At 33.4% G+C, this 13,148-nt stretch overlaps 1 protein-coding gene across 22 annotated transcripts in view; it reads right to left on the bottom strand.

The window, feature by feature from the left end:
- The window catches only part of LRRIQ1 (leucine rich repeats and IQ motif containing 1), a 236,455-nt gene that overhangs the window by 196,260 nt on the left and 27,047 nt on the right, over positions 1-13,148 (bottom strand). For 13 of the 22 annotated variants that reach the window (XR_944764.3, XR_944765.3, XM_011538819.4 and 10 more), the window contains exons 9-11: positions 11,132-11,284; positions 9,648-9,798; positions 3,448-3,639 (exon numbers count right to left, since the gene is read on the bottom strand). Coding sequence is in view for 18 of the 22 variants with exons in the window: in XM_011538819.4 (XP_011537121.1) it covers positions 3,448-3,639; positions 9,648-9,798; positions 11,132-11,284 (496 nt within the window). In the remaining 4 variants the exon portion in view is untranslated. The remainder of the gene's footprint in view (positions 1-3,447; positions 3,640-9,647; positions 9,799-11,131; positions 11,285-13,148) is intronic. The other 9 variants (XR_944766.3, XR_001748890.2, XM_047429655.1 and 6 more) reach the window with 1 other exon arrangement.

Here is a 13,148-nt window from a genome sequence, read left to right as displayed (position 1 = left end):
GAAGGAAAAAAACTCTTAGTATCTCTACTATTTACATGATAATTTTTAGGAATATATGATGTGAAATTTATAAATTGGCAAATATATTGCTTAAATTAAAGAAATATTTTTTCAGATTAAAGTTTTCCTAAACAGAAACAGATACATCATGAACAAGAATATAAAAATGATCATTTACTCTTACATGTTAACATTATATTTATTTTTATTTTTATTCAATATTTAATAAAAGAAATAACTTATTCCAATTCCATATATATAGAGAAAATGTATATCACTATGATATTAAAGTCAAGAGAGTCGTTTGTTTTGTGTGGAAAAAGTCAAGATAATCATTTATTTTGTTTATTGCTACATCCCCAGAAATATTTCAGTGCTGAAAAAGCGCTTATACATATAGGTACTCAATAAATTTATTTTGAAAAAATGTCAAAATCATTACATTTGTTCAGCATAAAGAGTTTTAATGTAGTATAAAAATAGTAGTAATCTTAATTATGAAATGTATATTTATTTAAAAAGTAGAAGAATAGAAGAATAAGGTAATTTAAAAATTAGGCACTAGAGATAGACTGCTGAGTTTCAAATCCTGTCTCTATCATTTACTAGCTGTGTAATTTTAGATAATCTACTTTACTTCTTTGTGTCTCAGTTTTCTTATCTGGTGGGGTCAGAATTTTTTTTTTTGTTTTTGAGACAAGGTTTCTCTTTATCACCCAGCCTGGAGTGCAGTGGCATGATCACAGTTCACTGCAGTCTCATGAGTTCCTCTCAACTCAGCCTCCCGAGTAGCTGGGAATGCAGGAGCATGCCACCATACTCAGTGATACAGTTTGGATATTTGTCCCTGTCCAGATCTCATGTGGAATTCTAATCCTCAATGCTGGAGGTGGGGCCTGCTGGGAGGTGTTTGGATCATGATTGGGGTAGGGGGGATCCATCAGGGCTTGGTGCTGTCTTGGAGATAGAGTTCTCACAAGATCTGGTTATTTAAAAGTGTATGGCAATATCCCCACCACCACCACATTCTGTCTCCCTTGCTCCTGCTTTTGCTTGCAACTTGCCTGCGCCAGCTTCGCCTCCTGCCATGATTGTAAGTTTCCTGAGGCCTCTCTAGAAGCCAAGCAGATGTCAGTACCATGCTTCCTGTAAAGCCTGCAGAACCATGAGCCAATTAAACCTCTTTTCTTTTACCTAGTCTTGGGTATTTCTTTATAGGAAGGCATAAATGGCCTAATACACCTAGCTAATAAAAAAAAATTGTAGAGGCAGGGCCCCACTATGTTGCCCAGTTTGGTCTTGAACTCCTGGCCTTAAGTGATCCTCCCTCTTCAGCCTCCCAAAGTGCTAGGATTATAAGCGTGAGCCACTGTGCCCAGCCGAAAATATTTAATAGTACCTAACTCATGCCAGTGATGTGAAAAGCAAATGAGTTAATTTGTATAAAGCACTTAAATACCTATTGGTAAGAAAGCTATCTATTACTGTATAACACTTAATTGTATTTTTATGTAAATAAAATGTAAAAAATAACTTTTTTCAAATATGGATTTATTCAAAATTAATTTAGTTTCAAAATTTTCTGCTAGAAAGTCAATGAAATTCAACATAAAATAAGAGAAATAAAGACAACTAGATTTTAAGTTATAAATCCCATTTTTCATTTGCTTTGGCTATTCTTACTTTAAAAACTAACTGAAAAATACTGACTCAAAGGACTAAAGGTTTTCCATGAACCATTTTATAAACTTTAACAATCATGTGGCAACATTCATTCAATATATTTTTTGCCACATCTCATATAGAAAACACAGTTTTACCAATTTTGCCTTAAATTTACTTATGGGAAATTTCAAACAAAGGACAACATGAAAGATTTTCTTATTTAAAATTGGTCATAAAATAGAGAGTAGAAGGATGTTACCAGAAGCTGGGAAAGTTAGTAAGGGGCTGGGAGGAGTTGGGGATGCTTGCTTAATGTATATATATATAAAAAAAACAGAATGAATGAATAAGACCTACTATCTGATAGCACAACAGCATGATAGTTAATAATAACTTAATTTTACATTTTAATATAACTAAAAGATTGTAATTTGTTTGTAGAAACAAAGGATAAATCTTTGAGGGGATAGATACCCCATTTTCCATGATATGATTATTTCACATTGCATGCCTATGTCAAAACATCACATTATCCCATAAATATATACACCTACCATGTACCCACAAAAATAAAAATTAAAAAATAAAATAAAACTGGTATGAATATTTCACGTTATATTTTTGTTTTTACAATTGCATAGTTTAATTAGAATGGAAAACATTCATAACTAATTTCAAATAAATTGCCTTAAAAAGATTGATACATTCACTATTCTCATTCACTTAAATGCAAATAGTATCAACCAAATAAATATGTACATTAATATTTTCTAATAAAAAGAATACAGTTAACATTACATATTAACTACTGTGATAACTATAGCACAGTAAGAATTAGAAACAAATTAAACTTGAAACTACCAATGTGAAATATTGTGGTATTGCTTCCAATTTTATTTCACCTCCTTAAGAAATATTATAGCATGGAATAGTAACTCACTAACTTACAAACACAAATCTATCTTTGTCTCCCTTCATAAGAGTTCTTAGCATCAATATATCACTGAAAGACAAAATCTATGCTTTTCACTTAGCTCAACCAGAATCTCTAAGCATTTCCTGAAGATGAAAAACAGACTCCAACTGCTCTTCAGAAAATCTACTTTCTCATGTATACTATTCTCACACTCAATAAATACAGTGTTTTCATTGTACCCAACAGACACCAAAGAAGTCTTTTACCTTGTTTGCTCTGTACTGCATGCACAGAGATATCTCAGGTTTATCAATTAATACTATGGCAGTTTTCACATAAATCTTGCTGATATCCTATGCCAGGAAATCCACTACTTACCAAAAAAATTCGTACAGCACTGCTGGCAATGAAAATGAAGTAAACGGGAATTCAAGCATTTCTTTTTTTACAAACAGCCTTTCTTTTCTTTTTAAAGTTTGCTTCAGTGTGTGCCAATATAGTAACATACATTATCAATGCACTTGCCTTCACTCCAACAACAACAAAATTATTTTAAACTAAAATTTTAAAGTAAAAATATTTGTGTCAAAACTATCAGCATTTCCATATGGAAGAAGTCATAGTAATCCAAAGCAGGCAGCACAAGAACGCAGGCAAATAAACACATTAAAGCATGTTATATGTTATATTTTCAAAAGTATGCCTTGAAATGTTTGCAAAATAAAGCTTATTTTGTGAAAACAGCTATATTTTACCTATATTTAAAAAAATAAAGGAGATGATGGTGACTGCCTAGATCCAACCCTCCCCATACCTCCTCTAGAAATCCATAAAGAGTAACAAAATAAAAAATAAACACAACTTACAATTCCAGTATAAGTGGGAGATAAGGAAATTACAATCTGAATTTTTTGTAAGTGAGGTAATAGGTATCCAGGACCAACATAATCCAGTTGGAATCCAGACTTGTGCCAGGGATAAGTAAGAAGTGGAGGTGCCCAAGTGATGGCAGAACCCTGCATTGTCAACAAGTTTTTCTTCCAGAAAGAAGGAATATCCTGAGTAGGATGACAGAATTAAGACCAAATATATAAGACGAATTAATAAATGCAAGTGGTTATAGCTTATATGAGAAAAAAATTTAAACCTGGAGCAAAAAATAAAACCTAAATCTATACTGTATAAAAATAAATGTCTAAACTTGATTCAAAAGGTTAAAAATAAAAAAGATGGCCAGGTAGGCAAACAAAAATAAAAATAAACCATATCGGACAAGGTAGAATTTAGTTTCAAAGGCATTAAAGAGAGAATGAAAAAAACATAATAGTCAAAGCTAAAATTTACGAAAAAGATAAGACATTTATAAAATTGCACGGCAGTAACATTCACAAAACAGAAACCAAAGGATTTACCAAAAAAAAAAAGGCTGATTAACGACAAATCAATAACAAGCAAATTCACAGGCAACTTCCTCAGTCCAAAGTAAATCAAGCAAACAGATCACCTTTAAAAAAATTATCAGTAAGGTAGATCTTACACATGCAAAATAAACTCTTTATCCCAATAATAAAAAACCCTGCCTCCTTTTCAAGTACACCTAAAACATTCATGAAAATTGACCACATATTAGATTAGCAAGACAGCCAAAATAAGTTCCAAAAACAGAAATAGCATAAAAATTATTCTCTGGCTATAAAGCAATAAAACTGAAAAGAATCACCAAAAAAAATGACCTTTCTATATGGAAATTTTAAATCTAAGGTAAAACATTTTTAAAAACCCTAAAATTATGAAAATGATGAAAATATCTACATGTCACAAGTTACAGAATAAGCATTGCTCAGAGGAAAATCTATAGATTTAAGTATGTCAATACGATTGAAAAAATTTAAAAATAATTGTATGAAATATTTAACTCAAAATAGAAAAGAACAGCATAATAAACAGAAAAGAAAAAGCCAAGAAACTAGTATTACCATGCATTTGTGGTAAAAGTACTAAATGGCAATGATATGGTTTGGTTGTGTCCCCACCCATATCTCACCTTGAATTGTAATAATCCCCACACGTCAAGGGCAGGCCAGGTGGAGATAACTGAATCATGGGAGAAGTTTCCTCCATACTGTTTTTGTGGTAGTGAATAAGTCTCACAAGATCTGATGGTTTTAAAAATGGGAGTTCCCCTGCACAAGCCCTTTGGCCTGCCACCATGTAAGACATCCCTTTGCTCTTGCATTGTCTTCCTCCATGATTTTGAGGCCCCAGCCGTGTGGAACTGTGAGTCTATTAAACCTCTTTCCTTTATAAATCACCCATTCTCGGCTATGTCTTTATCAGCAGCATGAGAATAGGCACAATATATATAAAGGGAGTCTGACACTATCTTCCTAATTATAGGTATCTTTTGACCCATTGATACAAATTGCAGGAAATTAACCTGAAGATATATCTGATCAAATATGAAATTAAATAGGTGTCATATTCATTATGGTAATATGGAAGATTGGAAACCATTCAATATCCATCAGCAAGGCAAAAATAGGAAAACTCTGCTCATTTCACACAATAGAATATTAAGTAGCTATGGAAAAATAATTATAAGTTCCATAATATGTTGTTAAGTAAAAAAAGCAAGACAAAGAACAGTACTTAAAATATGCTACATTTTGTGAGAGGATTAGCATACATAACATGTATTTCCTTAGATACGTGCATATATATAGATGCACACATATATATGTTTTACGTATTATATATGTACATATTATACAAAAATTCCACATATAAGAGTAAATGCGAGAGAAGAGTGAAAAGGATGGACTAATGCACAATATCTTGAGTATGCTTTTTTAATGTAGTTTTCATCTTGGAATCATGAATCTGTGTTACATATAAAAGTTAAACACAATCAAATGGGAAAAGTGAATTAATTTATCAAATTAATTTAGCAAACTAAATTATCAATTTATAATCTAATCCCAAAGATAAACTATTTCAAATGATTTTATAACATACTATTTTAATCATATCTGTTTGGGATAGTGCAAGGACAAAAAATGTAAATAAATCTTAAAATTAGTAAGCTATATTATAAATAGTAATAGTGGCATTGTTGTTTTGAAGCTATTTTATGGATAAGATATGGCACGTGGTTATATTAATGTTGCCATAAACCAAGGAATATAGTGGAAGAAAAAATGAATACAGCTATAAGTCTAAAGCATATTTGCTATCCTCAATTCAAGTTCACAATACAAAACAATTAGAGTATCAAAACGAATAACAGAGCAACTGACTGAAATATTCTGAGCTGTAAAAATGTATATTTTCATAAGAATATTGAGAGAGAGAGAGAAAGGTAGAACAAGTAGTAAAACAAACTAAACAAACAAACAAAAAACAAGTTGGCACCACTGAAAGTAACTAGAGTCACTAAGACTTTAAGAATTTCTCCATACAATAGTAAGCATTTAGCCCTGTCATTCTGCTACAAACCATTTCAGGATAACAAAATAGTTCTAATTGATTAAAGAATTCCAGCTTAAAGGCTGTGGAAGAAATGATCAAATAGAAAATTCACAAATCACATCCTCTGCTGCATTAATTGATCCAGGTCATATTAATTAACGGATGAACATTAGATGAAAGGTTGATGGCGAGCTTTATAATGGAGCGTTTAGGCTATCATCAGCTACACCAAACACTCAAGTGTAGCATCACTAAAAGTAAATCGTCAAATACTGTATGACTGCGGATGCAATCAAATATAAAGCACAGAACACCACCTATGAAGAATTCCCGCCAAAGCAGCTTACTTTTTAACTTAATCAAACCGTTTTTAACTAACTTCAATTTATAGAAAATACAGAGCTTATGGTTTTAGGTCTAACATTTAAGTCTTTAATCCATCTTGAAGAAAACCTAGGCAATACCATTCAGGACATAGGCATGGGCAAGGACTTCATGTCTAAAACACCAAAAGCAATGGCAACAAAAGCCAAAATTGACAAATGGGATCTAATTAAACTAAAGAGCTTCTGCACAGCAAAAGAAACTACCATCAGAGTGAACAGGCAACCTACAGAATGGGAGAAAATGTTTGCAACCTACTCATCTGACAAAGGGCTAATATCCAGAATCTACAATGAACTCCAACAAACTCACAAGAAAAAAACAAACAACCCCATCAAAAAGTAGGCGAAGGATATGAAGACACTTGTCAAAAGAAGACATTTATGCAGCCAAAAAACACATGAAAAAATGTTCATCATCACTGGCCATCAGAGAAATGCAAATCAAAATCACAATGAGATACCATCTCACACCAGTTAGAATGGCAATCATTAAAAAGTCAGGAAACAACAAGTGCTGGAGAGGATGTGGAGAAATAGGAACACTTTTACACTGTTGGTGGGACTGTAAACTAGTTCAACCATTGTGGAAGTCAGCGTGGCGATTCCTCAGGGATCTAGAACTAGAAATACCGTTTGACCCAGCCATCCCATTACTAGGAATATACCCAAAGGATTATAAATCATGCTGTTATAAAGACACATGCACATGTATGTTTATTGCGGCACTATTCACAATAGCAAAGACTTGGAACCAACCTAAATGTACAACAACGATAGACTGGATTAAGAAAATGTGGCACATATACACCATGGAATACTATGCAGCCATAAAAAATGATGGGTTCATGTCCTTTGTGGGGACATGGATGAAACTGGAAACCATCATTCTCAGCAAACTATCACAAGGACGAAAAACCAAACACCGCATGTTCTCACTCACAGGTGGGAATTGAACAATGAGAACACATGGACACAGGGTGGGGAACATCACATACCGGGGACTGTTGTGAGGTGGGGGGAGGGGGGAGGGATAGCATTAGGAGGTATACCTAATGCTAAATGACGAGTTAATGGGTGCAGCACACCAACATGGCACATGTATACATATGTAACAAACCTGCACGTTGTGCACATGTACCCTAAAACTTAAAGTATAATAATAATAAAATTAAATAAATAAATAAATAAATAAGAAAATACAGGGCTTAATGAAACAATTTCATTGAAACTAAAAAAAGTAAATGGACAAAGCCTGAGGCAGGACATTCTGTAAGACAATTCACACAGGTTCTGCAACAAATCAACGGAATGGGAAAAAAAAAAAGCCGTGAGGACTGCTGCAGATTTAAAGGGACTTCAAAGACCTAGATAAATGTAATATATACTCATTGATGTTATGATTCCAATAAACCCAGACACTTAGAAAATCAGAAAAATTTGATTACGTGCTATCAGTTGATACAAGGATTCATTATTAATTCCATTAGGTGTTATAATGCAATGGGGTTAAGTAAGAGACGGCCATATTATTCAAAACTGTCTCCTGAAGTATGAAGGAATGGAATTACATGGTCTGGGGATCTCCTTTATGAAAGAAAAAAATGAAATCAAAACCCCAAAAAAGTAAAGATGAAGCAAATGTTTAATATAACTAATGGTTATATGGAATTTCTATGTATTATTGTACATTTATAAATGTTTGAAATTTTCCACAATAAAAGAAGAAAAAACAAAATATACACAAACAAGCAAAACTAATAGTATAACCAGGACTAGACACAGAAATTAAGCTTATTTCTATTCCTCTATCTACACCCTTTCTACTCTGATATTTCAGTCTAGATTAAACTTTCCAATGATTATAGGACTGAAAAGGTGGACAGTATGGTATCCTCTGGGAGCCCAGTATTTCAGCCATCTGTCCCATATCAAAGTAAAATTTTAATCCAGTTCCCAACTTTTTGGCGATACTCGATTGTTCATTAACCATTATTAAGCCTCTACCAAGGCCCTTGAGAATTTCATCATGAATTAAATAATAAAAAACAATAGAAGAAATCAAGCCAGGAGGTGAATAATACAATTTTTATTTCAGCATCATCACGCTGGCAATAATGCAGAAGTAACCTGAGTCGCATTTCAGTGGGTAGAAGAGGGAAGTTGGGTGATAAGAGGTAAAAGCAAACACAAAACATTCTTTCTTTCCCGAAACTTGACAATAAAGGGGAAGAAGAGATGGGAGGCAATGACAGAACTCAATGTGAGGTAAGAGGAAAGGTTTTCTTTTTTTTCATTTTCTCTTTTGTTTTAATTTCATTTAGAAATGTGAGAGAAAGGACACAGCAATAGAAACACTTTGACAGAAGGCTGATGTAAAATAATGGAGTAAGGTCCTGACGGGCTGATGGGAATATTTATAGAAAATAGGACTGGTTGACTGTAGTGGTACATGTCTGTAGTCTCAGTACTCGGGAAACTGAGGTGGGCAAATCTGTTGAGTCCAGGAGTTCGAGACAAGCCTGGGCAACATAGCAAGACCATATCAAAAATATAAATAAATAAATAAAAAATAAAAGATAAAAGTTGGGTCCACAAAAAAATTGCTAAAACAAAAAATAAAAGGACTGGTCCTTAAGTAAGAAAAGAGATTTTCATTGCTACCTATACAAATTATAAGATATAAGGAAGGAAGTCAATATAGTTACATGTAGATATAGCTCTGGAGGGACTGAGAAGTTTAGGGAGATGCAGCCTGATGAATCTTTCATGTGGTTTTAGCAACTTTATCTAAAGAAGGAAAGATAAGTCCAAGTGATGTATGTAGCTAATGAGAGTGGTGATGAAAAAGGTTTACCAGCAAATAGTTACAACAATTGCTGAGGCATTTGGGAAGCAGATGATCCATAAAAATATCATGGCACAATATCAAGTTGTTATATTCCCATAGAGCTCAAATTACTATTGGTTGTAGGAAAAGAAACAGAGAAGTAAATATACTAACTGCTAAGAACTACAGAGTTGCCAGTGGTGGGAGAGCATATTCCTTTTATAGACATTAAAAGTAATTTTATTTTTTTAATCTAAATTTTAAAAGTATAACATAAATAAAATATGCAGATTTGTGATGGTGGCCTACTCCTAAAAAGGAATAAATAAAACACAATAAATTATGAGAAATATATCTTTAAATATTAAAATTTCATTGTTCTTACCAATTCGAGTAATTTTATTATATGAAAGTTCAAGACACTGAATATTAGTACAGCCATCCAAACCATGAAGAGAAGTCAGTTGATTTTTATTAAGAAGAACAACACAGAGATTTTCCAAATTTTCACACTCAATAGCCTCAATATGGTTTTCCTGAAGCAAAGAACAAATGTAATTAGTTTTATTTCAATGGCTTATTAATGAACTATTTAAAGCTTTCAAAAAGAGGAAAGAAAGATGAGATAGGATCTCCAAATTAATATCTGAATCTTTAACTTCTAAGATAACCCTGCAAACTGTTATACTATTTGGATGAAAATATTAGGTAAACTAATAAATAATTAATTTTTAATATATTAAATATTATTGTTTTAAAATACAGAAAATACAGAGGATAACAAGTATTTTAAACAATATAAATTTTAAAAAGTTAATATATTGTCATTCTTGTCTCTCTCATCTTGAATGAGAACGGCTATTGTTGTTAATCAGGCCCTGTCTCACCATTGTATGTGGGGTGGCAGTAGATAATTTTTAATTTTAGATTGCAGATATCTGAGTTGAGAGGGCTTCACCTCAGTGGATGCATCCAAGGAACTGGACCTGGTGAGCCTCATCTCCACCTGGATCTGATTTAGATGAGAAAAGCCTGTGCTTTGAGCTTGAGCCTGATGCCTTAAGTTAATGATACTTTGGTGTATTTGGGATATGAATGTATTTTGCATGTGGGAAAGATGTGAATCATTATAAGCCAGAGGATAGATTTTAATAGACTGTTACCTTGGTAGCTCCCAGTACACATCAGAAACCAATATTCGCATATCCATATGGTCCCCTTCCACATGACCTCAGGGCTTAGCCAATAAAACATTAGCCAACATGATGTAAGCAGATGTTTTATAAGCACTTGCATACTGCAGCATGTCTTTTAGGAACACTCACTCTTCAGATCCTGCTCTTGAGTAATACCCTATAAGCACCCTGGAAAGAAGCCCCAGATAACTAGAGAGATTCCCATCTTCCGGACAATCCTGCCAAGGCAGCAGACATATAAGGTAAGTGATTTAGGACATTCTAGCTCTAGCTTCCATCTCACTGCAGTTACATAAGAGACCCAGTAAATATAATAGAAATCAGAAAAAATGCCCAGCCAAGTTTAGTCAAATTAATGGCCCACAGACCCATGAACAAATAGGATGGTTGTTGGTTTAAACTACTAAGTAATATAATCATTTGTTGTGCAGCAAAAGTAATGAAAACAATAACCATATTAGCTACAAAAAGAGATAGGTCATTTTAGGTTGTATCATCCAATAAACTTCCCTCTCTGCTTCTCAAAACTTTACCATACCACCTGATCTCTTCAGGCTCTGAGTTACAGGTTAGTTTAGTAATTGTTTCTTCAAAAGGGTCATTTCTGAAATGTAAACATAAATCCATTTTATATTTTATTATAAAATAAATAACAGTAGGGCAGAGAGCATACCTGTGCATCAATGTACTTAAGTTTTTTACAATTACTCAGGCTGTGCAAAGAAGTTAATCCACAGCGTCGAAGGGATAGAAACTGAAGATTTGTACACTCTGCCAGTGTGGAGAGAACACAGCCTGGCAAATCTTGAAATGTAACTGTTGTAACCTAGAGGAACCAAGAAAATTGGAGTGTGTAGTGTTATTTAACAAAACTGAATATAAACAATATTAGCCTTACAAAACTGTTTAGAAAATTCATTTAAGAAAAGTAATACTATATGTTGAAGCCTACATTTATTAACAACTCAATTTGTTAAGCTATCTGGCCTCTTTTGTTCCCCACATACAAGGACAAAATATTGCAATCATCTATGACAAATTCAAGTCCAAAGGTAAGATACATAAAAGCAACAACATAATCATGTATTAGCTCACTCCCTGAGTTTTCAACAATTTTTGATTTTTAAAGTGGTATGGACTTCAAATTATACTACACAGCTGTAGTAATCAAAACAGCATGGTACTGGCATAAAAACAGACACACAGACCAATGAAACAGCACAGAGAACGCAAAAACAAATTCATACATCTACAGTTAACTCATTTTCGACAAAGGTGCCAAGAACATACATTGGAGAAAGGCCAGCCTCTTCAATAATGGTGCTGGAAAACACTGGATATCCATATGCAGAAAAATGAAACTAGACCCCCATCTCTTACCACACACAAAAATCAAATTAAAATAGATTAAACATACTTAAATCTAAGACCCCAAACTATGAAACTGATAATATATTTTTTTAATTGGGGAAACTCTCCAGGACACAGGACTGGGCAAATATTTCTTGAGTAATACCCTACAAACACAGGCAACCAAGGCAAAAATGGACAAATGGAATTACATCAAGTTAAAAAGCTTCTGTACAGCAAAGGAAACAATCAACAAAGTGGAGAGACAGTCCACAGAAAGGGAATAATACTTGCAAACTATCCATCTGACAAGGGATTAGTAACCGGAATATATAAGAAGCTCAAACAACTCAATAGGAAAAAGTCTCATAATCCAATCTAAAATGGGCAAAAGATCTGAATAGATATTTCTCAAGAAAATATATAAATGGCAAACAGTCATCTGAAAAGATGCTTATTATCACTGATCATCAGATAAATGTAAATCAAAACGACAATGAGATATCAACTCACCCCAGTTAAAATGGCTTATGTGCAAAAGTCAGGCAAATGCTGGAGAGGATGTGGAGAAAAGGGAACCTCTTACACTGTTGGTGGGAATGTGAATTAGTACAGCCACCGTGGAGAACAGTTTGGAGATTCCTCAAACAACTGAGCTACCATATGTTCCAGCAATACTGCTGCTAGGTATATAGCCGAAAGAAATGAAATCAGTATAATGAAGAGTTATCTGTACCCTCATTTTTACGGCAGTACTCTGCACAACAGTCAAGATTTAGAAGCAACCTAAGTGTTCATCAACAGAGAAATGAATAGAGAAAAAGTGGTACATATACACCATGGAGCACTATTCAGCCATCAAAAACAATGAGATCCTGCCATTTGCAACAATATAGATAAAATTGGAAGTCATTAAGTGAAATAAACCAGTACAGATAGACAAACTTTGCATATCCTCGCTTATTTGTGGGAACTAAAAATAAAACAATTGAACTCATAGGATTAGAAAGTCAAATGATGGTTACCAGAGGCTGGAATGGTAGTGGGGTGGGGTTGAGGGAAGTGGAGATGATGAATGGGTACAAAATATAATAAGATAAATGAATATGATCTAGTATTTGATAGCACAATAGGGTGACTAAAGTCAATAATAATTTATTGTACATTTTAAAATGACTAAGAGTATAACTGGATTATTTGTAACACAAAGAAAGGGTAAATACTTGAGATAATGGATACCCCATCTACTATAATGTGATTATTATGCATTGTATGCCTGAATCAAAATATATCATGTGTCCCATAAATATATATATACCTACTATGTACCCACAAAAGTT

The sequence above is a fragment of the Homo sapiens genome, chromosome 12, assembly GCF_000001405.40.
Source record: "Homo sapiens chromosome 12, GRCh38.p14 Primary Assembly".
Lineage (NCBI taxonomy): Eukaryota > Metazoa > Chordata > Mammalia > Primates > Hominidae > Homo > Homo sapiens.
This window is presented reverse-complemented; position numbering and strand designations above follow the sequence as displayed.